Genomic DNA, 26,454 nt, shown 5'->3' on the forward strand with positions numbered 1-26,454 from the left:
AATCCCAGCACTTTGGGAGGCCAAGGCAGGCGGATCGCTTGAGCTTAAGAGTTCAAAACCAACCTGGGCAACATAGTGAAACCACATCTCCATTAAAAATACAAAAAAATTAGCCGGGTATGGTGGTGCATGCCTGGAGTCCCCAGCAATTTGGGAGGCTGAGGTGGGAGGATTGCTTGAGGCCGGGAGGCAGAGGTTGCAGTGAACTGAGATTGCGCCACTGCCCTCCAGCCTGGGTGACAGAGCCAGGCCCTGTCTCAAAAAAAAAAAAAAAAATAGTTAACAGTTTAATAGCTAACATTTTACCATTTTTGCCTTATTATTTAGAATCACTTGAGAGTAAATTACGAACATGATGCCCATTACCTTAAGTGTGTCAATGTGTGTTTCCTAAAACACAAGGACACACTGCTGAAAAATCAAAGTACATCCAGCATTACCAGGAAATCAGCACTGATACAATACTACATCCACCCTGCAGACTCCATTCCCATATTCCTGATTGCTCCAGCAATGTCCTTTATAATCACCCTTTTCCATTTGGTCCAGAATCCAGCCCAGGGTTATCTACTGTATTTAGTTTCCATGTCTCTAGATCTGCCTTCAATGTGGAGCAAATGCTCAGGTTTTCCTTGTCTCTTATGACTTGATACTTTTGAAGAGCACAGGCCTGCTGCTTTGTTGAATGACCCTCGATTTCTGGTTGGGTGATGGTTCCTCAAGATTACGCTCAGGTTATGCCTTCTTGGCAGGAATAGCGCGGAAATGATGCTGTGTTCTCAGTGGATCGCGTCGGGGGGCATAGCATATCAATTTGTCCCATAGCTGGAGATTACATCCCTTGGTTAAGATAGCTAATTAAGTATTTTGTACTTAATTTATATTTAATAAGCAATTTAAAAGTATTTGATTAATTTTAAAGTAATCAAAAACTATTCTATGTAAATATCCTGTTTCTTATCAAGCTTTCACCCACTACTTTTAGCATTCATTAATCTTTTTTTTTTTTTTTTTTGAGATGGAGTTTTGCTCGTCACCCAGGCTGGAGTACAGTGGCGCGATCTCGGCTCACTGCAACCTCCACCTCCCATGTTCAAGCGATTCTCCTGCCTCAGCCTCCTGAGTAGCTGGGATTACAAGCGTACACCACCATGCCCGGCTAACTTTTGTATTTTTAGTAGAGACAGGTTTCACCACATTGGCCAGGCTGGTTTCAAACTCCTGACCTCAGGTGATCCACCCACCTCGGCCTCCCAAAGTGCTGGGATTACAGGCGTGAGCCACTCATTGATGATTCTTACCTGAAGCAATTATTACTATGATGGCCTCCAAGTGGTGATTTCCTGATTTCTTAATTCCTTCTGCTTGTACTAATTGGTGTTCTGTTGTGAGGTAGTTTTCCTTCTCCCCTATTTATTTATTCATTCATGGGTATATTTATATCAGTATGGACTCAGGAACGCCTGTTTTATTCAATAGGCTATATTACATTAATTATATACTTTGATACTCAAATTATTCCATATTTTGCCAGTGGGAGTGACTTTATTAATAAATTAGCTTCTGTATTCTTTTGGTATGTCCATGATTCTTTAAGTACTTCCTTATTTTCTGGTGTCAAAATGTTCCAGACCCATCTTATACTTTCCTTGTCCCTGCCCTGGTATCAGTATACCATTTCTCCAGTAAGCTCTGGTTTGTTTTATTAGGAAACGGAATTGAGAAACCAAGATCTGAGTTTATGGTGTGTTCATTGCTTCTGGGATGTTATTGCTTTTAGGTGCTCTAACATGAAATATATGTACACACGTGTACATATACAGCCATCTGTCTCTGTGTATCATTCATTTATATACATATTTTAAAACATGAGATTTTAGTGATATCTCCAATTTCTCTCCAACTGCATATAGATTAGTCTAGCTTTCCTCCTTTACATACTTGTAGATCCTTTTTCCAAAAGTGAGAAACCTAGCTCCCATAATCTTCATATTTTTCCCAACCCCCTGTAAACAACCAATCTTCCAGCCATTCAGAAGCAATCGTCTCCTTCTCCCCTTCTGCACACGGCTATTGCCCCACTGAGTCTCTCCGCACTCTTCCTGTGGCCACGCCAGGCTGAGCAAACCCTGTTACTGACCCGTAACAGCACACTAGTCTCTTCTATACCTGCTACACATTCAGGAGAAATGACTGGCATTTCAGAATGTGGCCAGCTTTGTGTCAAAAGAAGGATTAAATAAATCGCATAATATAGTGTGTTAGGTCCAGTGGGGAAGAGAATTTGGTCTTATAATACAGGCAGCCACTTAAAAGGAAAAATAAGTTTCTTCTAGAAGCACTGGTCTCAAAAAAAAAAAAAAACAACAATTAAAAAAACCCAAAAACGTCCACACACAAGAAAATCTCAGTGAATATATCTTTGCTTTGAATTTCAACTCCATTAAAAATCTTGAGTTGTTTTAAATTGATAGTGAAAAGGTTTTATAGTCTTTTTCTCTTGAAAATCACATCAAACTAGGTTTACTCCAAGACTGTTTTATTCCTGTGAATTTTAGATATTCTTGTTCTTTGTCTTCCTTTTTAGAATGGATAATTCAAAGTGAATACTTTTTTTTTTTTTTTTGAGACAGAGTCTTACTCTGTTGCCCAGGCTGGAGTGCAGTAGCACGGTCTCGGCTCACTGCAACCTCAGTCTCCTGGGTTCAAGTGATTCTCCTGCCTTGGCCTTCCAAGTAGCTGGGATTACAGGCACGCACCACCATACTCAGCTAATGTTTTGTATTTTTAGTAGAGACAGAGTTTTGCCATGTTGGCTAGGCTGGTCTTGAACCCCTAACCTCAAGTGATCCACCCACCTTGGCCTCCCAAAGTGCCAGGATTACAAGCATGAGCCACGGCACCTGGCCTGAAAATTTTTTAAATCTAGATTTATGTTTTGTTAGGATTTATTTTTTATAGGTAGAACATTGGAGGAAGATCAATGACCAATATTTATGCTGACTTTTTAGTAAATTTTAGACATTAGTGTTCTAAACTAAATTTCTCTTTCTTTTTAGGTTTGTCCAAGACTGGTTTTCAGAAAGGATGCAAGTGGCCAAAGTGGACTTCTCTACAGTGTTACCACGCTTCATTTCTCTATATATCTTTTCCTTTTTGAGTCCGAAAGATTTGTGTGCCGCTGCCCAAGTCAGCTGGCCCTGGAAGTTTTTAACTGAACAGGTTTACTATTTGCCACTTCCTAGTAATAGGGCACAAGTACAGCTGTAATCTGTAATGAGGCTACTGGGGTAGCTCCCGTCCCTGAAGACAATAGCTGAGGGTACCTGATCCATCATTAACTTACCCTTGAGAGAAAAAATGGGGAAAAGTGAAATACAATAATGTATTTCTATAAATAAGGAATATAGACTAGTCCAATAATTCCTGTTACTTAAAAAATCTTTAAATACTCAGTATAATTGTTTAGAAAACATTTTATCTTGGTTAAAGAAGTTCCTTTTTGAGACGGAGTCTCGCTCTGTTGCCCAGGCTGGAGTGCAGTGGCGTGATCTCAGCTCACTACAACCTCCTCCGCCTCCTGGGTTCAAGTGACTCTCCCACCTCAGCCTCCTGAGTAGCTGGGATTACAGGCGCGTGCCACCACGCCCAGCTAATTTTTGTATTTTTAGTAGAGACGGGGTTTTACCATGTTGGTCAGGCTTGTCTCGCACTCCTGACCTTGTGATCCGCCCGCCTCGGCCTCCCAAAGTGCTGGGATTACAGGCATGAGCCACCGCACCCGGCCAAGGAGTTCACTTTTCTTCATGAAAAATGATTTATGCTTTAGATTTTGTATATTATCTCTGATAACTCAGCTCTAGAAACTGCTACACAACCACAGCCTCAACTAATCCCTTATTGTCTTAACATCTGTTAAAGAACATACATTGAGATCTGTCAACAGCAGTTGAAAGCAGTTAACAGCAGCAGCTGTTTAAAATCAACATCTTTTGCCATTAATTCTGCCTCTGGCCTCATTGTCTCTTCATTTTCTTGTAAAATATTTAATAAAATGTAACTAAACACATACTTTTTTTTTTTTTTTCCTGAGACAGGATCTCATTCTGTCACCCAGGCTGGAATACAGTGGTGTGATCTGGCTCATTGCAACCTCTGTCTCCCAGGCTCAAGAGATCCTCTCACCTCAACCTCCCAAGTACCTGGGACTATAGACATGCACTACCACGTCCAGCTAATTTTTGTATTTTTAGCAGAGATGGGGTTTCGCCATGTTGGCCAGGCTGGTCTTGAACTCCTGGGCTCAAGAGATCCACCCACCTCGGCCTCCCATAGTACTGGGATTACAGGCGTGAGCCACTGTGCCTGGCCTAGTCTGTTTATATTTCTGTAAACACTGATATATTTGTGTTTAATCCATCATTTTACTATTTATTTTTTGTTTGTCCCATTTGTTTTATGTTTTTTTCCCTCTCCCTGTCTTCCTTTGTGCGAATTAAACTTTTTTTCAATTGTTAATTATGGATTCTTTAACAGTTCTTTCATGGTTACCATAGACTACAACATATAGCCTTGAATTAATATTATCTTACCATTTCTAAGACAATGCAGGGAGCTTAAAACACTTTAAATTCATTTACCTTCCTCTCAGTTTCCATGCTTTTTTTGTTAAAGATTTTTATTTTATATATACTAATAATAGCCTACTGTTGACCAGAAGACTTACTGATAATGCTAAGTCGATTAACACACATTTTATATATGTACTATATACTGTATTCTTCAATATGGCAAGCAAGAGAAAAGAGATTGTTATTTAAAAATTCACGAGGAAACATATTTACTATTAAGTGGAAATGGATCATTGTAAAGATCTTCACCCTCATCATCTTCATGTTGAGTAGGCTGAGGAAGCTGAGGAAGAGGAGGGGTTGGTCTTGCTGTCTTGGGGGTGGCAGAGGTGGAAGAAAGTGCATATAAATGCACCCACGCAGTTCAAACCCAAACATAGATAACACATAAACACATATCTCACAAATCTTTATTACTATTGTTTTATGTAGTCAATATTGATTTATATGTGACCATATTTTTTTCTGTAGTTCATTTTTTTCTGTTCCTGCATCTCTGAGTTTCCATTTGGAATAATTTTCCTTTTGCGTTCTATTTAATATTACCTCTAGCACAAGTGTGCTGCTAAGTTTTCTTAGTTTTTGTGCATCTAAAAATATCTATTTCATCTTCATACTTAGAGGATTATTTCAATACGAAATTTAAATTCTAGGTTGGCAGCTAATTTTTTTTTATAGAACTTTGAAAATATTTCATTTTTTTTTCTTGAGAAGTCAGAAGTTTTATTGTTGATCCTTTAAAGGTAACATTTCTATCATCTCTAGCTGCTTTTTGGACTTTTTTTCTTTCATTTTCAGTAATGTTATTGTGATATACCTAGGTGTGTGTTTGTATGTATCTTGTTTTGTAGTGATTTTTGAGTCTGAGACTTAATATCTTTTATCAGTTTTGAAATGTTCTCAGATGTTATTTCTTCATATTGATTCTGCCCCATTCTCTCCCTTTTTCTCCTAGTATTCCAATACTTATAGGTTGGAAAGATTCACCACGTCTCATAACTTTCATATTCTTTTATACACATTTTCCATTTCTGTGACCTTCAGTATTTCAGTCTGGATTTTCTTTGGACCTATCTTTCAGTTTACTAATTGTTTCTTTAGCTAGATTCTAATCTGATCTTAAACCCATCCATTGAGTTCTAAATTTCAGTTACTGTATATTTTCAGTTCTAGAATATTGATTTAATTCTTTTGCCAAAATTTTCTACCTAGTCATTTATTTTAGATATATTAATTATAGAGTATTTATTTCCGCAAAGTTCATGTCTGATGATTACAATATTTGGATCACCTGAGGATCTCTCTATAGTTATTAAAAACCAAAAAGAAAAAAGAATTCTTGTCTATTGTGTGTTCTAGTTAATTTTCATTGAGTACCAGATACTGAGTATACAAAATTAATGTGATCCTTTGAGTCTCTGGGTGATGTTTTCTTCCTCCAGAGAGAATTTACTTTTGCTTCTGGCACGTCTAGTGCTAGGAACAAATCCTACAAATCCAGTCAAGGAATGAGATGTTTCAAAGCTGGCTTCAGTCTTTGTGAGAGTTTGTCTAATTAAGTATTATCCTTCCTGAAAAGAATCTTAACTGAAAGCTGGTGTGATTACCAAGCCTCTCCCGTCTTAGTGGGCCCTAAATTTCCATTTGTGTCCTTTCTTCCCTGTGAGAATGCCTAAGATTCTTTTTTAGCATCTAAGTCTTTTAGTCATAACTTTCTGTTCTGCTTCTCAGCCTAACAAGCTTTGCTTTGGAACTGACAAATGCCTTGAAGTAAAAAGTGATGCCAAATATCAGGCTTACCTCTCTGGGTTTCCCTTCTTTCTGGGGTCTTGGTTGAACAAGTCCTTATTGCATTGATAGCTCTATAATATAGCCTTCAAATAATTGTTTGTATAATATTTGGTCTAGGTATTTCATCAGTTCAAACCACATGAAATTTTCTCTTGTCGTATGTCAAAATGGCTGAATATTGGCAATATCGTACGCTTCAGTCAAAATTATTCTCAATGAGAGGGTTAATCTGAAAGAAACTATTCCACTATTGCTAGAAGCTGAATTCTCAGAATCTAGGGTTAACGTAACCAAATGCTATTGGAACATTGGATAAGTGTCACAAAGATGTCTAATACATACATTCACATATAACATATATATTCATCAAATAATATTTTTCCTGTGGAACAAGATACGCTTCTTATTTCCAAGTCAAGTTCAGATAGTAAGTCAGTAATAGCATTTAAAAACGTTATATCTGGCCAGGTGCAGTGGCTTACACCTGTAATCCCAGCACTTTGGGAGGCTGAAGCGGGAGGATCACCTGAAGTCAGGAGTTCCAGACCGGCCTGGCCAACAGGGCAAAACCCCGCCTCTAGTAAAAATACACAAAAACTAGGTGGGCATGGTGGCATGCGCCTGTAATCCCAGCTACTCAGGAGGCTGAGGCAAGAGAATTGCTTGAACCCAGAAGGCAGAGGTTGTAGTGAGCTGAGATCGCGCCACTGCACTCCAGCCTGGGCGACAGAGCAGGACTCCATCTCAAAAAAAAAACATAGAAATAAAAATAAAAGTCCGGGTGCGGTGGTTCACACCTGTAATCCCAGCACTTTGGGAGGCCAAGGTGGGCGGATCACGAGGTCAGGAGATGGAGACCATCCTGGCTAACACGGTGAAACCTCGTCTCTACTAAAAAAACAAAAAAATTAGCCAGGCGTGGTGGCGGGTGCCTGTAGTCCCAGCTACTCTGGAGGCTGAGGCAGGAGAATGGCATGAACCCGGGAGGCGGAGCTTGCAATGAGCCGAGCTCGTGCCACTGCACTCCAGCCTGGGCGACAGAGTGAGACTCTGTCTCAAAATAAGTAAAATAAAATATAAAAAAAATTAAAACTTTCAATTTTATATAAACATTGTAGAAACAAATGGATTTGCATACAAATTCTCAGAGATTTTTGTACCAGAAATCTCAGTGTAATGAAAAAGTATCTGTGTACCTGAAAATATTATTGCTAGAAAACTGTCTGAAAACAATTTGTGACTCATCTTCCTCTTGTTTCTGAAGGATTGCTTATGGATGCCCAAATGCGTTAAGTTCGGATGGTTTCTGCCCTATACTCCAACAGATAATGAGTATGGTGCTTGGAAGCGCCATTACATTGCTTGTGTGTCCCACTTAGACTGGCTGACACCTAGGGAGGCTGCTGCTACTTATGGGACGCTGAATGAACCCAAAACAGAAGATGAGGAACTACTGGAGAGACAAAGAGAAAAGTGCCTGAGGAAAAGAATTTGGGAGAAAATTGCACTACGTAAGAGTAAGTAGCATTTTAAACCTTTATATCTTAGGTAAATATTGTAGACACAAATGGATTCACATACAAATTCCCACAGAGGACAGCCCTGTCTTTCGGAATACTCTGAGTGGCAGTCTTAAGTATTTTCCAGATGAGCTTTTTTCCGTACTGTATATTTCAAGTTAATTGATGAGAAAAACAAAGATTTCAGACAAAATACATAAGGTTAAATATCAGTGCTTCCATTGCTATTCTGGCTCCTCTCAGGCTTATAAGACCAAAAACAAAGAGGATAAAGATGTTTGAACATGGGGAAAAAAGCAAACAAATAGGTTCAAAACAGAGGAATTGGGAGTGATGAAAAGAGGAGGAGAAATGCAAGTGAAAATGGAAGCAGGGAAAATGGCATTTAAAAAGGGAGAAAGAGGACAGCTCTTTCCGCTCTTTTTAAAGCCTCTTTCAGTTAAGCCCCCTATTTATTTATTTATTTATTTTATTTTTGAGACAGGGTCTCACTGTCACCCAGGCTGTGCAGTAGTATGATCTCTGGCTCACTGCAGCCTCGATTTCTGAGGCTCAAGTGATCCTCCCACCTCAGCCTCCTGAGTAGCTGGGGCCACAGGTGCACACCACCATGCCTTGCTAATTTTTTGTATTTTTGTAGAGATGGGGTTTCTCCATGTTGGCCAGGCTGGTCCCGAATTCCTGGGCTCAAGTGACCCGCCCACCCTGGCCTCCCAAGGTGCTGGGATTACAGGCAGAGCCACGGCGCCCAGCCTCAGCTAGGCCTTATGCTTTATGCAGTGTGTAAAAGAAAACAGCAAAACTGATTAGAGTTCTCCCATGTTTTCTTCCCACTAACCCTCTGGTGAGATCGTGACAAATAAGAAATTGCTTGAAGGCAAGAAGAAGGGCACAAATGAATGTGACACCTATCAATTGATTAACTGGTCCCCACTAGAAAAGGGTTGCTTGTTTGCTTGTTCTCTGAGCTTTGTTTCTTGACCTGAAATGACCGGTAGCTCACAGCCACAGTGCCAAGAGGATGAGAAATCCAAACCGAGTGCATGAAAATGGCTGTAATTATTGTCATTTGGAACCTTGCCCTGGTACAGCTTTATTTTTGATGCCTTTATCTGTGTGGACTTGGCTGGGAGAAGTATGAAGTAATCAGCCCCGCCTGCTGTTCTTTGTTTTTCAGAGGAGTTATTCAAAGTTCGACCCCCTTGGGTGAGTGGAACTTGCTGCTCTAGCGTGCTAAAGCCCAGATGCCAACCACGCCTCTCCCAGACTGTAAGGGAGCGAGTGGGATTACATGAAGCTTTGGAGAAACAGCTTGTTTTGACATCGTTAGAAACCTTGCCCAAGCGGTAAGCAAAATTCCATCTACTGAAGGCTCAACACCATCCCAATACCAATAATTCACTCTAGAATAAATTTAGCTATCACGCAGAAATCTTGTGTAATTCTGTGGCTCATATCCTATGAAATATCAGTAAAGATAATTAATTTTCTAGAACAGTAGTCAAACATGCCTTCTGAAGAGGTAAACATATAACATACAAAACTTACATTTTAAATGTTCTTTTTTTTTTTTTTTTTTGATATGAAGTCTTGCCACATTGCGCAGGCTGGTGTCAAACTTGTGGGCTCAAGCGATCCTCCCGCCATCCTCCCAAATAGCTGCGATTACAGGCATGTGCCACTGAGCCCAGCTTTACATATTCTCAACTCTGCATTGAAGCTATATTGTGGATGTAGTATATTTTCTGTATTAAGTTACTGAACAAAAATAACATTTTTCCACAAGTGTTTTCTACGAAGTAAGAGTATCCAAATGGTATCCAAATATAACTTCCACTTATATTTGTATGTACAAATATAATTCTTTTATAATAGAGAAACATCGGCTGTATTCAGTTACCAAATCATACTATAGAGTGAAATTACCAGAAATTCAATTCTATCTGACATTCATAACCATCACCATTGTGCATCTGCTTAGAATTTCTTTTTAACTTTTAACTTTGGATTTTTTTTTTTTTTTTTTGAGACGGAGTCTCACTCTGTCACCCAGGCTAGAGTGCAGCGGCACAATCTCAGCTTACTGCAAACTCTGCCTCCTGGGTTCAAGCGATTCTTCTGCCTCAGCCTCCAGAGCAGGTGGGACTATAGGTGCGCACTACCATGCCCAGCTAATTTTTGTATTTTGTAGTAGAGACAGGGTTTCACCGTATTGGCCAGGCTGGTCTCAAACTCCTGACCTCAGGTGATCCACCGGCCTTGGCCTCCCAAAGTGCTGGGATTACAGACATGAGCCAGCATGCCCAGCCAACTTTGGATTCTTGAGATCATGTAATCTCACTCACCTAAGTTTCAAATGAGGAAACTGGGGCCTAGGAAGGTGACATGACTTACCCACATGTCAAAGTGTCAAACACTAGAACCTAAAACTCTAAAATTCCAGCACTCTTTCAACTTCACCCACTGATGCTACATATGGATCTCTGTGTATCTGAACATTTGTGAATGTGTGCATGTACATTTACTTGTTCAAGGCACATAAAGAATTTTAAGAGGTCAGGCATGATGGCTCACGCTTATAATCCCAGCACTTTGGGAGGCCAAGGTGGGAGGATCACTTGAATTCAGGAGTTGGAGACCAGCCTAGGCAACACAGCGAGACCCCATCTTTCCCCCCACCCAAAAAAAAATCTGGGTGTGATGGTACACACCTGTGGTCCCAGCTACTCAGGAGGCTGAGGTGGAAGGATTGCTTGAGCCTGGGAAGTTGAGGCTGCAGTGAACTGTGATGACACAACTGCACTCCAGCCTGAGTGAGAGAACAAGACCCTGTCACTTAAATTTTTTTTTTTTATAAAAAGAATTTTAAGAAGCACAGAACAGCCCCTGCTCCTGGTATTGTTGGGGGTGAGGGTGGCTGTGGAGAGAATGAAGACATTACTCAGGAACAACTGAGGCCTAGAAGGAAATTCAAAATCTCTCAGCTACTTCTTTTTAAATATCTTTTTGAACTCCCAAATATGTCATTACCTTCATTTAAGTGCCCAATAAGAGATAAGTAAGTTCCAAGAGACTGCTCCAGCATCCCACATGTGGTGGAGGAGAGGCTCAGAGAACAGATTTGGCCTCACTACACCCAGGAGCTCCATTTACTACTGTCCTCACAAAACACAGGGTGAGGCTAAGGCATGGAGGCCACGTGCCTTGTAGAGTAGAGCTGATGCCCAGAGACATATGCTGTGTACTTACCAAAACTCAAGGTAAGAGAAAATGAAAACTTCTCATATTTCCTTTTACTCCATAGAAGCAATATTTCTGGAAGCCATTCCTACCCTTTATTATCAAAGAAAAATTGGCATGGAGTTCATAAAAATGATGACAGATCTTCATATGCTCTCCGGCCACACTTCATGTTAATATCATCCCGGATTCCTGCGTATGAGGTAGAGTATGTTATGAGGCCAGTCCTGTCCTGATTGTTTTTTTGTTTTTTGTTTTTTTTCATCTAGACTAGAGGGTGTGTGACAAGCTTTTGGCCACCATGTGTATGAAAAATGATTCAACTTCTAAAAGGAAAATCAAGCCAGGTGTGGTGGCACTAACTGTAGTCCCAGCTACTCAGAAGGCTGAGGTGGGAGGATCACTGGAGCCCAGGAGATGGAGGCTGCAGTGAACTGTGATCACACCACTGCACTCCAGCCTGGGCAACAGAGTGAGACTCTGTTTCTATAAAAAAAAAAAAAAAAAAAAAGGCCAGGTGCAGTGACTCACACCTATAATCCCAGCACTTTGGGAGGTCAAGGTAGGTGGATCACCTGAGGTCAGGAGTTCAAAACCAGCCTGGCCAACATGACGAAACCCCATCTCTACTAAAAGTAGAAAAAAAATAGCCGGGTGTGGTGGTGTGTGCCTGTAGTCCCAGCTACTCGGGAGAGTGAGGCATGAGAATCGCTTGAACCCAGGAGATGGATGTTGTAGTGATCAGGACACTGCACTCCAACCTGGGTGACAGAGTAAGACACTGTCTCAAAACAAAACAAAACAAAACAAACAAAAACCCCAGAAGCAATAAAGGTAATCATAAATCAAAATTATTTTGAAAAAGCATTAAAGGCCCAAACTTTTTTTTTTTTTTTTTTTTTTTTTTTTTTTTTGAGATGGAGTCTCACTCTGTCGCCCAGGCTGGAGTGCAGTGGCGCAATCTCGGCTCACTGCCAGCTCTGCCTCCCGGGTTCACACCATTCTCCTGCCTCAGCCTCCTGAGTAGCTGGGACTACAGGCGCCCGCCACCATGCCCGGCTAATTTTTTTTTTTTTTTTTTTTTTAGTAAAGACGGGTTTAGCCGTGTTAGCCAGGATGGTCTCGATCTCCTGACCTCGTGATCCGCCTGCCTTGGCCTCCCAAAGTGCTGGGATTACAGGCGTAAGCCACCGCACCCAGCCTAAAGGCCCAAACTTTTAACTGAGGCCTTTTAACTGAGAGGTGATAACTCACTCAAGTGTCAAAGTTGCAAACAATAGAACCTAAAATCCTAAAATTCCAACACTCTTTTAGCTTCACCCATTGATGCTACATGTAGACCTCTGTGTCTGAACATTTGTGAGCGTGTGTATTAGTCTGTTCTCACACTGCTATAAAAAATACCCAAGATTGGGTAATTTATAAAGGAAAGAGGTTTAATTAACTCACAGTTTCACGTGGCAAGGAGGCCTCAGGAAACTTACAGTCATGGCAGAAGGCTAAGGGGAAGCAAGGACCTTCTTCACATGACAGCAGGAGAGAGAAGAATGAGCAGAGGAAATGCCAGACACTTATGAAGCCATCAGATCTCATGAAAACTCACTCAGTGTCATGAGAACGGCATGCGGGAAACTGCCCTCATGATCCAGTCACCTCCCACCAGGTCCCTCCCTCGACACACAGGGATTATGGGGATTACAATTCAAGATGAGATTTGGTTAGGGACACAAAGCCAAACCATATCAGTGTGCATGTCCAATAAATTTTTGTTGAATTGAATTTGTTGCATTTAATCCAAAAAAGGAGCATGCTGATTAAGAATTACTTTAAAACTTCTCTGAAATTCCCAAATAGTATTATGTAACCACCATCTCAAAAAAGAAGAATGTCAGAAATCCTGTTTGGTTTTTCTATAATGAAGTTATATATTTTAATTTTAATATGAATAATATAAAAATAAAGGAAGCACAAAGATGACCTTTGTATCTATATATGTGAGTGTATATGTATGTATATATGTGTACCTGTATGTATTAATATGCACACATAGGGATATATACTTAGAAAAGTTTCTATTTGTAACAAAATAGCTCCTTTTAAGATATGAACTCACTTCTTCCGGGCATCTAAGAGTCAGCTCTAATCACTGATAACCGGTGAGCTCAGTGGATCCACATGAAAGCAAGATCAGATCCTTGATCTCCATGTGGGCCATAGCTTCCACAGTGTTTAACAATGCATCATGCTGGCCGGGCATGGTGGCTTACACCTATAATCCCAACATTTTAGGAGGCAAAGGCAGGATAATTGCTGGGACTACAGCTACACGCCACCACACCCACCTAATTTTTGTATTTTTTGTAGAGACAGGGGTTTCCTCATGTTGCCCAGGCTGGTCTCTAACTCTTGAGCTCAAGTTATCCGTCAGCCTCGGTCTCCCAGAGTGCTGGGATTACAAGTGTAAGCCACTGTGCTTGGCCATTATTACTTTTTAAAAGTTATTTATATGTCTTTGTGCATGGCGTGCATAAAGATTAAAAGGCTGGAAGAAAGTAATCTAAATTGTTAATAGTATTTATCTCTGAGTAGAATTACATGTGTACTTAATTTTCTCCTCCTATAATTAGAAATAAACTAATTTTAATAGAAACCAAGGAGGAAGCTTATCTTCTTCCATAATCTCTGAAAATTCTTTAGAAATCACGGCGTATTTTGTATCCGTTCTATTTCTTTCATTAATAAATATTCTAAAATAGTGGGTCTTGGCTCTTACAGCTTTGGTTTCATTCTCCAGATGGTGATGGAGAGTGTGAAGGCTGGTGTTGTTTCTGTGGTATATGAACACAGCGTAACCTTGGAAAGCCTTCTGTATCTTATAGAAAAAGCTCTGGATGGGCAGAAGGCACAGAGCATCGGAATATTTAGCGATGGAGACAGCAGAGAAATCAATTTACTCCAAGGTAGGCCTGGGGATTGGCGGATGAACAACCATGGAACTTCGCGCTGTGCACTTTGTCCACAGTGTGACTTCCGGAGGACTATCTCAGTTCCAAGTTGCTAAGACGTGTTGATTTTTTGGCTTTATGAAAAAAGCGAAGCTTTTTTTTTTTTTTTTTAATTCAGGGTCTCTGTCACCCAGGTTGGAGTGCACTGGTGTGATCACGGCTCACTGCAGCCTGGACTTCCCAGGCTCAAGTGATCTACCCACCTCAGCCTCCTGAGCAGCTGGGACCACAGGTGTGTGCCGCCACGCCCAGCTAATTTTTGTATTTTTTGTAGAGATGGGGTTTCTCCATGTTGCCCATGCTGGTCCCAAACTCTCTCCTGCCTTAGCCTCTCAAAGGGCTGGGATTACAGGGGTGAGCCACCACACCCCAGCTGTGAAGCAATTTTTTTGATGACCGTTTTTTCAAATTTTGATTAAAGAAACACGTTACTGTCTTAACCATTTTGAAGTGTGCAGTTCAGTATTGTTTGTTCACATTGTTGTGAAACAGCTCTCCAAAAATTTTCCATCTTGCAAAACTGAAACTCTGTGCCCACTGAAAAAAAACTTCTCTTTTCTCCTCTCCACAGGCCCTGACAACCACCATTCGACTTCATTTCTATGAATTTGAGTATTTTAGATACTCTTATAGGAGAGTCACACAGTATTTGTCGTTTTGTGACTTTTTTCTTTTTTCGAGACAGAGTCTTGCTCTTGTCGCCCAGGCTGGAGTGCAGCGGCACAATCTCAGCTCACTGCAACCTCTCTCTGCCTCCGGGGTTCAAGCGATTCTCCTGCCTCAGCCTCCCAAGTAGTTGTGATTACAGGCGTCCACCACCATGCCTGGCTAATTTTTCTATTTTTAGTAGAGACAGGGTTCCACTATGTTGGCCAGGATGGTCTTGCACTCATGACCTCCAGTGATCCACCTGCCTCGGCCTCCCAAAGTGCTGGGATTACAGGCATGAGCCACTTTGCCCGGCTGTGACTGGCTTATGTCACTTGGTATAATGTCCTGAAAGGTCATCCATGTTGTATGTGTTCCTTTTAAGGGCATGTATGTATATAGTATGTTTTATCTGTTCATCCACTGATGGAAACTGGGTTGCTTCCACTTCTATTGTGAATAGTGCTGCTATTGTTGAATATGGGTATGCAACCATCTCTTTGAGATCCTGCTTTCAATTTTGGATATATACCCAGAAATGGGATTGATGGATTATATGATAGTTCTATTTTTACCTTTTAAAGAAATCTCCTGCCTGGTGCAGTGGCTCACGCCTATAATCCCAGCGCTTTGGGAGGCTGAGGCAGGTGGATCATCCGAGGTCAGGAGTTCAAGACCAGCCTGACCAACATAGAGAAACCCCATCTCTACTAAAAACACAAAATTAGCTGGGTGTGGTAGTACATGCCTGAAATCCCAGCTACTCGGGAGGCTGAGGCAGGAGAATCGCTTGAACCTGGGAGGCGGACGTCGCGGTGAGCCAAGATTGCACCTCCAGCCTGGGCAATAAGAGCGAAACTCCATCTCAAAAAAAAAAAAAAAAAAAAAAAAAAAAAGAGAAAGAGAGAAAGAAAAAGAAATCTTGAATTCTCGATGCTGTTTTCCATAGCAGTTGCATCATTTCATAATCCCACCAACAGTGCACGACATTTACAATCTCTACACATCCCACATCCTTGCCAACACTTATTTTCTGTGTGTATCTGTGCTTTTTTTTTGTTTTGTTGGTTTTTTTCTTGGAGACAGAGCCTCGCTCTGTTTCCTAAGGTGAAATGCAGTGGTGTGATCATAGCTTATTGTAGCCTTGAACTCCTAGGCTCAAGTGATCCTTTTTCCTCAGTGTGTCCTAAGTAGCTGATGCACACCATCATATCCAGCTAATTTCTATTTTTATTTTTTAGAGATGGGGTCCCACTACATTGTCCAGGCTGGTCTGGAACCCCTAGCCTCAAGCAATCCTTCCACCTCAGCCCCTAATGTGCTAGAATTACAGGTGTGGGCCACTGTGCCTAGCCTTTTTTTTTTTTTTTTTTTTTTTAAATAGTAGCCATCCTAATGGATGTAATATCTCATTGTGGTTTTGATTTGCATTTCTCTGATTAGTGATGTCAAGCATCTTTTAATAGGCTTGTTGGCCATTTGGTTATCTTCTTCAGAGAAATGTCTATTCAAGTCCTTTGCACATTTTTAAAAATTGGGTTATTTGATTTTTTTCACTGTTGAGTTATAGTTCATATATTCTAAATACTATTCCCTTATCAAATATATGATTTGCAAATATTTTCTCCCATTGCATAGATTTCATTTTCACTGTGTTGATTGTACACTTTGATGCACAAAAGTTTTAAATTTGATGAAAGTGCAGCAATTTTAATAGTAAATACCAAGATCTATAAATTGGTGTACACTAACAACATTTATTATATTCCTAGTTGGCTACAGATTTATTATATTCCTAGTTTCCTACAAAGGAAAGGAATGGCTGATATCATCAACTTGTTACAGGGCAGCCGTCAAAAATCTCAGTGGGGTGGAGCATGGTGGCTCATACCTGTAATCCTGGCACTTTGGGAGGCTGAGGTAGGCGGCTCTCTTGAGCCCAGGAGCCCACAGCAGCCTGGGCAACATGGCGACACCCCATCTGTACAAAAAATACAAAAAAATTAGCTGGGCGTGGTGGCACACACCTCTGTAGTCCCAGCTACTCCTTGGGAGGATCCCGGCGGGGCAGAGGTTGAAGTCAGTCATTGAGCCACTGCACTCCAGCCTGGGCTACAGAGCAAGACCCTGTCTTAAAGAAAAACAAAAACAAACCAAAAACCCCCCAGCCCTCTGCCCCTCAAAACAAACCTCAACGGTTACTTTTTTTTTTTTTTCCGGGAGAAAGAGATGATGAATGTTTTAGAAGTAGACGTCTAGTTTCTATTTTTTTCTTATAGCTTGCATTGTTCCTTGCTTATACTTAAAGTAAAATTGTTTTAAAACTTACTCAAATGAAATCTTCCATTATTGTGGGATGAGGGGAGAGAAGGAATAAGATGATCCCAGATATGGCTGGAGTAAACCAGCAAAATGGCAAAGTGAGTCCCTGAGACACCCGTCAAATTGCCATCTCTGTGGTTGGGACTTCGTGTACTTGGAAAGTTTCAGTGAAATTTATCATTGGCAGAAACGAATTGACGTTTGTTTCACTTTACCTTACTTCTGGTTTTCCTTGTTTAGCTTACCTGTGCCTGGGGCAAGTTGTGTTCCACATCAGTTTTCTATGTCCTCCCAAAGTAAAGCACAGATACTATTTGTTTGGGGTTTAAATTTAAATGACATGGTAACTCTTCTCTAAATGGTGCAGAGATATTGGCAAGTTTATATGATGGGAGTAAGTTTATCTCGTGTGGAATGTCCTGTTAGAGTTTCTTGATCTCAGCCTTTTTGTTCTCCAGGTAAGAAAAGTTTTCAAACTCTGCCTTTTCCTCATTCTGGGTGTTTTTTGTTTGTTTGTTTATTTTTTGTTTTTGTTTGAGATGGAGTCTCGCTCTGTCGCCCAGGCTGGAGTACAGCGGCACGATCTTGGCTCACTGCAACCTCCACCTCCTGGGTTCAAGCGATTCTTCTGCCTCAGCCTCCTGAGTACCTGGGACTACAGGTGTGCACCACCACGCCCAGCTGACTTTTGTATTTTTAGTAGAGATGGGGTTTCACCATATTGGCCAGGCTGATCTCAAACTCCTGACCTTGTGATCCACCTGCCTCGGCCTCCCAAAGTGTTGGGATTACAGGCGTGAGCCACCGCGCCTGGCCCTTATTTTGTTTTTCTTAAGCAACAGTAACAGCAACAAAATACCTCAAAGACCTAGTTTACTTCTATATAATTGTGTTTTCCCAAAAGCTTTTGCTTTAAAAACAACATCAAAACAAAGTCTGCTACCCTGTCACATGAAGAAGTCCTTTCTAGATATTTATAAAATATCTAGACCTCCCAGTGGGAGGGAGTGAAACATCAGAATTCTTTGCCTGTTTTCATTTCATCACCGGAGCCTGGGGATGCGGAGTTTCCAGGACTCCTTTAGAAATGGGTCCAGACCCATGCAGCTTAGTGGAATCATCACACAGAATTGTCGGGAAGTGAGAGAAAAGGAGAGTTTCAGTTGCTGTTTACCATCTCTGGGAGCCTTAACTTCTGCTCTGCACTACTTATTTTTTGATTGACAATCCTGGGAAACATTTCTACTTTGGAACTTGGTTGCAAAATCCCAGGACTTGCTGACCGTCCCCCTAAACCCTGCATGCGCCTGATATCTTACCCTGCTGCACAGTGGAGGCAGAAATGCAATGTCGTAAACCTGAGTGCATAGTGTCCAATTTACCCAGGATGTGAAGGAGACCAGGACCATGGAGATGGCTCCAACATGGTACGGGAGGAAGCAGAGATGCCTCAGGTGTCTTGGTCTTGCAGGCAGATGGCATTTTGATTTTGTGCTTACATTTTCACAAGCTGCTAATAATTTCTGTTCAGTATTATGTTACAAGCTAATATGACATTTTGATTTTTTTTCCTCAGGCTATAAAATTGGTGTTAAAAATTTACTGAGGCCTGAAGTGAGAGATTTCTGGGAGAAATTAGGAAGCTATGTGGCCACTGAAGAAGAAGGGGGTCACGTGGACTTCTTCGTGCCCCTTGGAGCATCAGGTTAGCTCAGAACACCTTATAGAGAGACAGTGGCCATGCCACTTCATGGGGATATGTTGTGAATTATTGAAGTGCCCCTGGGTCAAATGATTCAGTCACATTTCACGCTTCAATTTCTTTTTTCTTTGTACTTCACATATCCAGGTATTTCAAGAAAGTAGCAGTGAGGGATAGTGATGAAAGTAACCTGTCTCTACAGAAATACGGTCCCTAAATGGCAAGACCCAGGAGCATTATTTATATTTATTCTGGAAAACACAATAACACCAGTATCCAGGATATAAGGGAAAGTGCCTGACCATCATAGGAGCCATAATCATTCAATCCGAGAAAACACCCCCTGCCGCCTTCTGAACCTGGAGTAGGCATGAACTTTGGTGACCAAGAACCTGAACTTGAGTCCCGCCAATGTCATTGTTTAGCTTTGTGGCATTAGGCAAACTTGTGGACCTCCATTTCCTCATATGAAATTTAGAACAATGGTACCTTAGTGCATCTTAAGGACTTATGAATCTCAAGATGACATATTTAAATAATAAACACAGTGTAAATTCTTAGATAATATTAAAAACAGTGAGGTGCTTTGTAAAGATGAGTATGGCTAATGATGACTGAGGTTGCTGATATCATTTTAAGTGGCTGCCTGTCTAGAATCAGCAACTGTGATTCAAAGTTGACTTCTATGCTTGAAGAGAAACTTCAGAAGCATTAAGTCAAATTCATTCTTTGGAGATCTGTTCAATAAAAGCTCTGCATTCATGCACAATGTTTACAAGGAGAGCAGGGGAGAGGGAATGTGAAATTAAATTTTCTCATACTGTTTTTTTTTGTTGTTGTTGTTAGCCATTCCTTGGGTAACTGTGAGTTTTAAAATTCTTTCTACTCCTCAAATTTCACAGGACTGTTCAACATATGCAAAGCAAGCCCCCTGGCAGGCTTCAATCAGAGGACAGGAAAAAATAAAAAGAATGGGAAAGAATTGTTTTAAACATGTAAATTTACAAAGTTATTCCAATTATATTTATATACATATATATATTTATTAAATCTCATTTATGTAGAAAATATGCTGGTCAGGTGTGGTGGCTCACACCTGTAATCCCAGTACTTTGGGAGGCCAAGGTGGGCAGATCAACTGAGGTCAGGAGTTCGAGACTAGCCTGGCCAACATGGCAAAACCCCATCTCTACTAAAAATAGAAAAAAATAGCTGGGCGTGGTGGCAGACACCTGTAATCCCAGCTACTCGGGAGGCTGAGGCAGGAGAATCACTTGAACCTGGGAGGCAGAGGTTGCAGTGAGCCAAGATCGCACCACTACACTCCAGCCTGGGCGACAGAGTGAGACTCCACCTCAGAAAAAAAAGAAAATATGCATAGAAAAATCTAAAAGGAAATATACCAAAATATTAACAGCACCTATTTCTAGATGTGTTTTATAATTTTTCTACTTTTCTACTTTGAAATTAGTTTTAAAAGACTAGGTTACAAAGAGTTGGATGGTGTGATCTCATTGTTTAAAACATGCATATGTGTGAGGTGGTGTATGTATAGAAAAAGATTTGGAAGGATGTATACCAAGGTATTCACACTGGTTGGATATAAGTGAGTTTTCCTTTTTCTCTCCCTTTTAAAAAATGTATTTTGTCTCAATTTCCTGTAATGAACTAATATTACTTTTATAATAGAACAAAGCGAATATTTTAAGTGAAGAAGAAAAAGAAAGGACTTGGGAAAGTATTGAAAGGCAGAGTAAGAATAAAGCGGGAAAAGTGGATTTGGTGACATAAAAATTGTCTCAAGTGAAACTTAATGACACTCAAAAAATAGGCTTTCTATCACCATTCTGGGCCCCGAAATTCTCATCAAATGTAATATCCACCTGGATGCATCAAAGATCATTGACTTCTCAGTCCAAATGTCTCTTTTCCACCACTTCAGGCATCCCTCTTAGGCTTGTCAGCCCAGTGGCTGTAAATCACTCCTAAAATCTCGATTTCAAGTATTTGAGAACCATTTTCAAATCATGTACTCAAATACCCCCACCACAGCAATTCTTTTTGTCTCCCCCACCCCACCGCCCGAGATGTCTCGTTCTGTCGCCCAGACTGGAGTGCAGTGGCGTGATCTCGGCTCACTGCAACCTTCCGCCTCCCGGGCTCAAGCGATTCTTCTGCCTCAGCCTCCAAGTAGCTGGGACTACAGGCATGTGCCACCACACCCGGCTAATTTTTGTAATTTTAGTGGAGACGGGGTTTCACCATATTGGCCAGGCTGGTCTAGAACTTCTGACCTCATGATCCGCCCACCTCAGCCTCCCAAAGTGCTGGGATTACAGGCATGAGCCACCACACCTGGCCCAGCAATTCTTTGTCTAAGACCTCCAGCCTACACACTCCAACTTTTTCACTACCACCATGTCTTCATTTTTGCTTCCTTCCTTGTTAAACTTGGATTTAATGGCCCAATTTTCTCACCACTCCCTTGCAAAGAATCTGAACTTGTCTCTCTTTTTTGGCTAAATCCCAATTCATTTGGTTAAAACACAACTCTCTGCACACACTATACCTGTGGGTACTAAAGCAGCTTTAAAGACTGTTGGAATAAGTGATACAACCGTTCTGATTGGTCTAACTTTACTTTGGTGACATAACTGTCAAATGGGATTGCAACACCGATGAGCAATTTCCTTGGTAAATTCATTTTCACACTCTTTGAGATGACAATTTTATCTCTTCTCTTTAGACAATCTTTCAATAACCCTGTCTCTCAGCTTTGACCTCACCTTTTACTTCGCCAAGCAAACTGAATCATATGGGAACTCCCTAATTTTCCTCCTACCGTCGAATCCACCACCAGCTCCACCTCTTACTTTTTATTCTCTGTCTTCCCTTCGCCCTGATGGAAGAAGCATCCCTCTCAAACAAGATCAGATACTGCACTTGGAATCTAGCCCGTTGCCTTTCATCTTCTCCAGACTTCCACATCCAATCCTCTCCTGTGCCCTCATTTCTCTTTATTGGATTGTTTCTATCAAATCAGAAACACCTGTAGTATCTCCTGCCTTAAAAAAATAAAAGGACAATAAGCTTTCCCTCACCACTTTTTAAGTTGACAAGACCAGAGGTTCTCAGACTTGAGCGCGCATCCATATCACCTGGAGGGCTGGTTAAACTACACATTGCTGGGTCCCACCTAGAGTTTCAGACTCAGTTAAGTCTGGGGTGGGGCTGGAGAATTTTCCTTTCTATCAAGTTTCCAGGTGATGGTGATGCTGCTGCCTCTAGGCCCTCCATCCTCACCTCCCACACTCTCCTCAAGCTCCTCCAGTGGGTCTCTGTCTGTACTGGCACTACTTTTGGAGGACTGTAAGTGACTTCCATGTGCTCAAATCCAGTGGTCCCTGCTCCATTCCCACCTCACTTTGACTTTATGGAAGCATCTGATGCAGAGGAACGCCCCTTCTTGAAATACTCCTTCTCTTGGTGTCCCTAATACCACACTCTCCCTGTTTCCTCCCACCTCAGTGCCCTCTTCTCAATCTCCTTTGCAGGCTCTTCTTTCTCTGCAAGATCCTTAAATATTCCCTAGGGCTTGATCCTAGCCTCTCTCCTTTTCCACATACGCACTCTCCTCCCTAGGCAGTCTCACTATTCCTATGTGTATTATTCCATTCTCACGCTGCTATGAATAACTGCCCGAGACTGGGTAATTTATAAAGGAAACAGGTTTACTTGACTCACAGTTCTGCAGGGCCGGGGAAGCAAACACATCCTTCTCCACGTGGCGGCAGGAGGAGGAAGAATGAGAACTGAGGAAAAGAGGAAGCCCCTTATAAAACCATCAGATCTCGTGAGAACTCACTCGCTCTCACGAGAAGAGGATGGGGGAGATTGCCCCCTTAATTCAATTATCTCCACCTGGTCCCACCCTTCACACGTGAGGATTATTACAATTCAAGATGAGATTTTGGGTGGGGACACAGCCAAACCATATCACTATGACTCTAAATGTAATTTATATGCTGAGGACCCCAAATTTATGTCTCCAGCTCTGAAATCTCTGAGCTGCAGACTCATATCTAATTCCCACTTGGAATCTTCATACTGGATGTTTAATTTTCACATCTAATAGACATCTCAAAGTTAAATCAAACCCTTGATTGCCTCCCCAGCTCCAAACCTACCCCTTCCCCAGATTCCTCAGTAAAAATATCATTCAACAGTTACTGCATAAGCCAAAAATCTAAGAATCTGAGACTCATTCTTTTTGGCATTAAAAACATTTTTAAACAGCATTATTGAAATATAATTAATATACAATAAACTGTACATAATAAAAGTGTGCAATTGACTAAATTCTGACATATGTAGGCCTGCCCCATGAAACCATAAGAAAAATCAAGAAAATGAACATATTCACTACCCCCAAAAGTTTCCTCATGCCATTCCATAATTTCTCTCTGCTGCTCCTCCCCACCCCCAACCTGAGGCAGCCACTGGTCTTTCTTTCACATATATTAGTTTTCATCTTCTAGAATTTTCCTTTTTTTTTTTTTTTTTTTTTTTTTTTGAGACAGGGTCTGCTTTGTTGCCTAGGCTGGAGTGCAGTGATGAAATCACGGCTCAGTGCAGCCTCAACTTCCCGGGGTCAAGCGATCCTCCCACCTCAGCCTCCTGAGTAGCTGGGACTACAGGCACACAACACCATGCTTGGCTAATTTTTTTTTATTTTTAGTAGAGACAGGGTCTCCCTATGTTTCCCAGGCTCGTCTTGAGCTCCTAGGCTCAAGCAATTCTCCTTCCTCAGCCTGCTGGGATCACAGGTGTGCACCATCCCGCCTGGCCTAGAATTTTCCTTTTCCTTTTCTCTTTTTTAATATGGAACAGCTCAAAAATTTGCAGGTCATCTTTGTGCAGAGGCCACACTAATCTTCTCTGTATTGTTCCAATTTTAGTATATGTGCTGCCAAAGCAAGCACTGGCCTAGAATCTTCTATAAATGGCATCATACAGTATGTATTCTCTGTCTGACTTTCTTCATTCAATCATTATTTTAGATTTACCCATCCGATCCATGTATCAGTATCTCCTTTTTACTACTGGGAATTATTACATTCTACACGTATACCACAATTTGTTTATCCATTAATTTGTTGATAGATAAATTTGAGTTCTTCCTGGTTTCTGCTTTTACAAATAAAGCTGCTATGAACTTATGCTTTCATTTCTCTTGGATGAATACCTGGGAGTAGAGTGGCAAGGTTATATGTAGACGTATGTTTAACTTTATGAAAACACCAGCTAAACTGATTTCCAAAGTGACTTTAGCATTTTACATTTCCACAAGCAGTATCTGAGAACTCTAGTTGCCTATCATTTTACCACTTGGTACGGCCAGTCTTTTTGATTTTAGCCATTTGGGTGGGTATGTGGTGGTATCTCATTGCAGTTTTAATTTGCATTTTCCTAATGACGAATGATGCTCAAGATCTTTTCATGTGCTTATTTGCCATTCTTTTGACCATCTTAAAAACTAGGTTGTTTGTTTTCTTATTCAGCTTTAAGAGCTCTTTATACATACTGGATAAAAATATTTTCTACAGTCTGTAGAAAATATTTTTTCCTTCTCTGAACAGTTTCTTTTGAAGCACAGTTCTTTTTTTTTTTCTTCTTTTTTTTGAGACAGAGTTTCACTCTTGTTGCCCAGACGAATGCAATGGCGCGATCTCGGCTCACTGCAACTTCTGCCTCCCAGGTTCAAGCAATTCTCCTGCCTCAGCCTCCTGAGTAGCTGGGATTACAAGATTACAGATGCCCGCCACCATGCCCGGCTAATTTTTTAATATTTTTAGTAGAGACAGGGTTTCACCATGTTGGCCAGGCTGGTCTTGAACTCCTGACCTCAGGTGATCTGCCCACCTTGGCCTCCCAAAGTGCTGGGATTACAGGCATGAGCCACCGCGCCCAGCCTGAAGCACAGTTCTGAGTTTCGATGACATCAAATATATCAAATGCTCTTGTATAGATCATCTTTGGCATCATATCTAAAAACGATTTACCTAACCAAAGGCCACTAAGATTTTCTCCTATGTTTTTTCTAAATGATTTATAGTTTTAAGCTTGACTTTTAGGTCTGTGATCCACTTGACTGTTTTTTTAATGTAATATATGAGATATGGATAGAGGTTAATTTTTTTTTTTACATATGGCTAGTTGTTTCTTCACCATTCCTTATAACTACTATCCTTTTTCCAGTGAATTTCATTTGCACCTTTGTTGAAATCTATTGACTATGTATGTGTACATTGGACTCTCTACTTGATTTCATTGATGAATTTGTCAATAAAAGTGCTATAGACATCAGTAAGTGAGAGACATCCCAAACTTTCAGCTGCTGTCATCCTGTTTCATGCAGTAATTGAAGCATTTTGGAGTATTTATTTATTCTTGGACCACAAATAGTTAAAATAAATTACCCATTTCATTCCAAGTAATTCAACCTGTATGCTGAATTAAATAATTCAATCTATATGTTGTGCCACTGAAGGGGCTATTTTTTTTTTTTTTTTTTTTACTTTAAGTTCTGGGATACAAGTGCAGTGTGTGTAGCTTTGTTACATGGGTATACATGTGCCATGGTGGTTTGCTGCACTTATCAACCCGTCGTCTAGGTTTTAAGCCCTGCACGCATTAGGTATTTGTCCTAATGCTCTCCCTCCCCTTTCCCGCCAACCCCCTGACAGGCCCCAGTGTGTGATGTTCCCCTCCCTGCATCCATGTGTTCTCATTGTTCAACTTCCACTTACGAGTGAGAACATGCAGTGTTTGGTTTTCTGTTCCTGTGTTAGTTTGCTGGGGATGATGGCTTCCAGTTTCATCCATGTCCCTGCAAAGGACATGAACTCATTCTTTTTTATGGCTGCCTAGTATTCCATGATGTATATGTGCCACATTTTCTTTATCCAGTCTACGAATGATGGACATTTGGGTTGGTTCCAAGTCTTTGCTATTGTAAATAGTGCTGCAATAAACATACATGTTCATGTGTCTTTATACTAGAATGATTTATAATCCTTTGGGTATATACCCAGTAATAGGATTCCTGGGTCAAATGGTATTTCTGGTTCTAGATCCTTGAGGAATCGCCACACTGTCTTCCACAATGGTTGAACTAATTTACACTCCCACCAACAATGGAAAAGTATTCCTATTTCTCCACAGCCTCGCCAGCATCTGTTGTTTCCTGACTTTTTAATAAATCACCATTCTAACTGGCGTGAGATGGTATCTCATTGTGGTTTTGATTTGCATTTCTCTAATGACCAGTGATGATGAGCTTTTTTTCATGTGTTTGACGGCCGCATAAATGTCTTCTTTTGAGAAGTGTCTGTTCACATCCTTTGCCCACATTTTGATGGGGATTTTTTTTTCTTGTAAATTTGTTTAAGTTCCTTGTAGATTCTGGATATTAGCCCTTTGTCAGATGGATAGATTGCAAAAATTTTCTCCCATTCTGTAGGTTGCCTGTTCACCCTGATGATAGTTTCTTTTGCTGTGCAGAAGCTTTTTAGTTTAATTAGATCCCACTTGTC

At 40.9% G+C, this 26,454-nt stretch overlaps 1 protein-coding gene and 1 non-coding gene across 9 annotated transcripts in view, besides 1 other annotated feature; one reads left to right on the plus strand and one right to left on the minus strand.

Annotated features, from left to right (window-relative positions):
- Nucleotides 1-26,454, plus strand: part of ECT2L (epithelial cell transforming 2 like) — a 107,984-nt gene that overhangs the window by 39,206 nt on the left and 42,324 nt on the right. For all 8 annotated transcript variants that reach the window (XM_017010828.2, XM_006715472.4, NM_001077706.3 and 5 more), the window contains 6 exons: nt 3,060-3,222; nt 7,687-7,939; nt 9,120-9,288; nt 11,247-11,385; nt 13,977-14,142; nt 18,734-18,862. In XM_017010828.2, coding sequence (XP_016866317.1) covers nt 3,060-3,222; nt 7,687-7,939; nt 9,120-9,288; nt 11,247-11,385; nt 13,977-14,142; nt 18,734-18,862 — 1,019 coding nt within the window. The remainder of the gene's footprint in view (nt 1-3,059; nt 3,223-7,686; nt 7,940-9,119; nt 9,289-11,246; nt 11,386-13,976; nt 14,143-18,733; nt 18,863-26,454) is intronic.
- Nucleotides 22,587-22,787: a silencer, noted in NCBI's record as "peak6155 fragment used in MPRA reporter construct". NCBI's record gives its function as "represses an SCP1 promoter by STARR-seq MPRAs in K562 erythroleukemia cells {active_cell/tissue: K562}" and the evidence as "EXISTENCE:reporter gene assay evidence [ECO:0000049][PMID:32103011]".
- LOC124901516 (U6 spliceosomal RNA) lies at nt 23,735-23,841 on the minus strand. The gene has a single exon (XR_007059941.1). It is a non-coding gene; the product is annotated as a U6 spliceosomal RNA (small nuclear RNA).

Source organism: Homo sapiens, chromosome 6 (genome assembly GCF_000001405.40).
Source record: "Homo sapiens chromosome 6, GRCh38.p14 Primary Assembly".
Classification (NCBI taxonomy): Eukaryota; Metazoa; Chordata; class Mammalia; order Primates; family Hominidae; genus Homo; species Homo sapiens.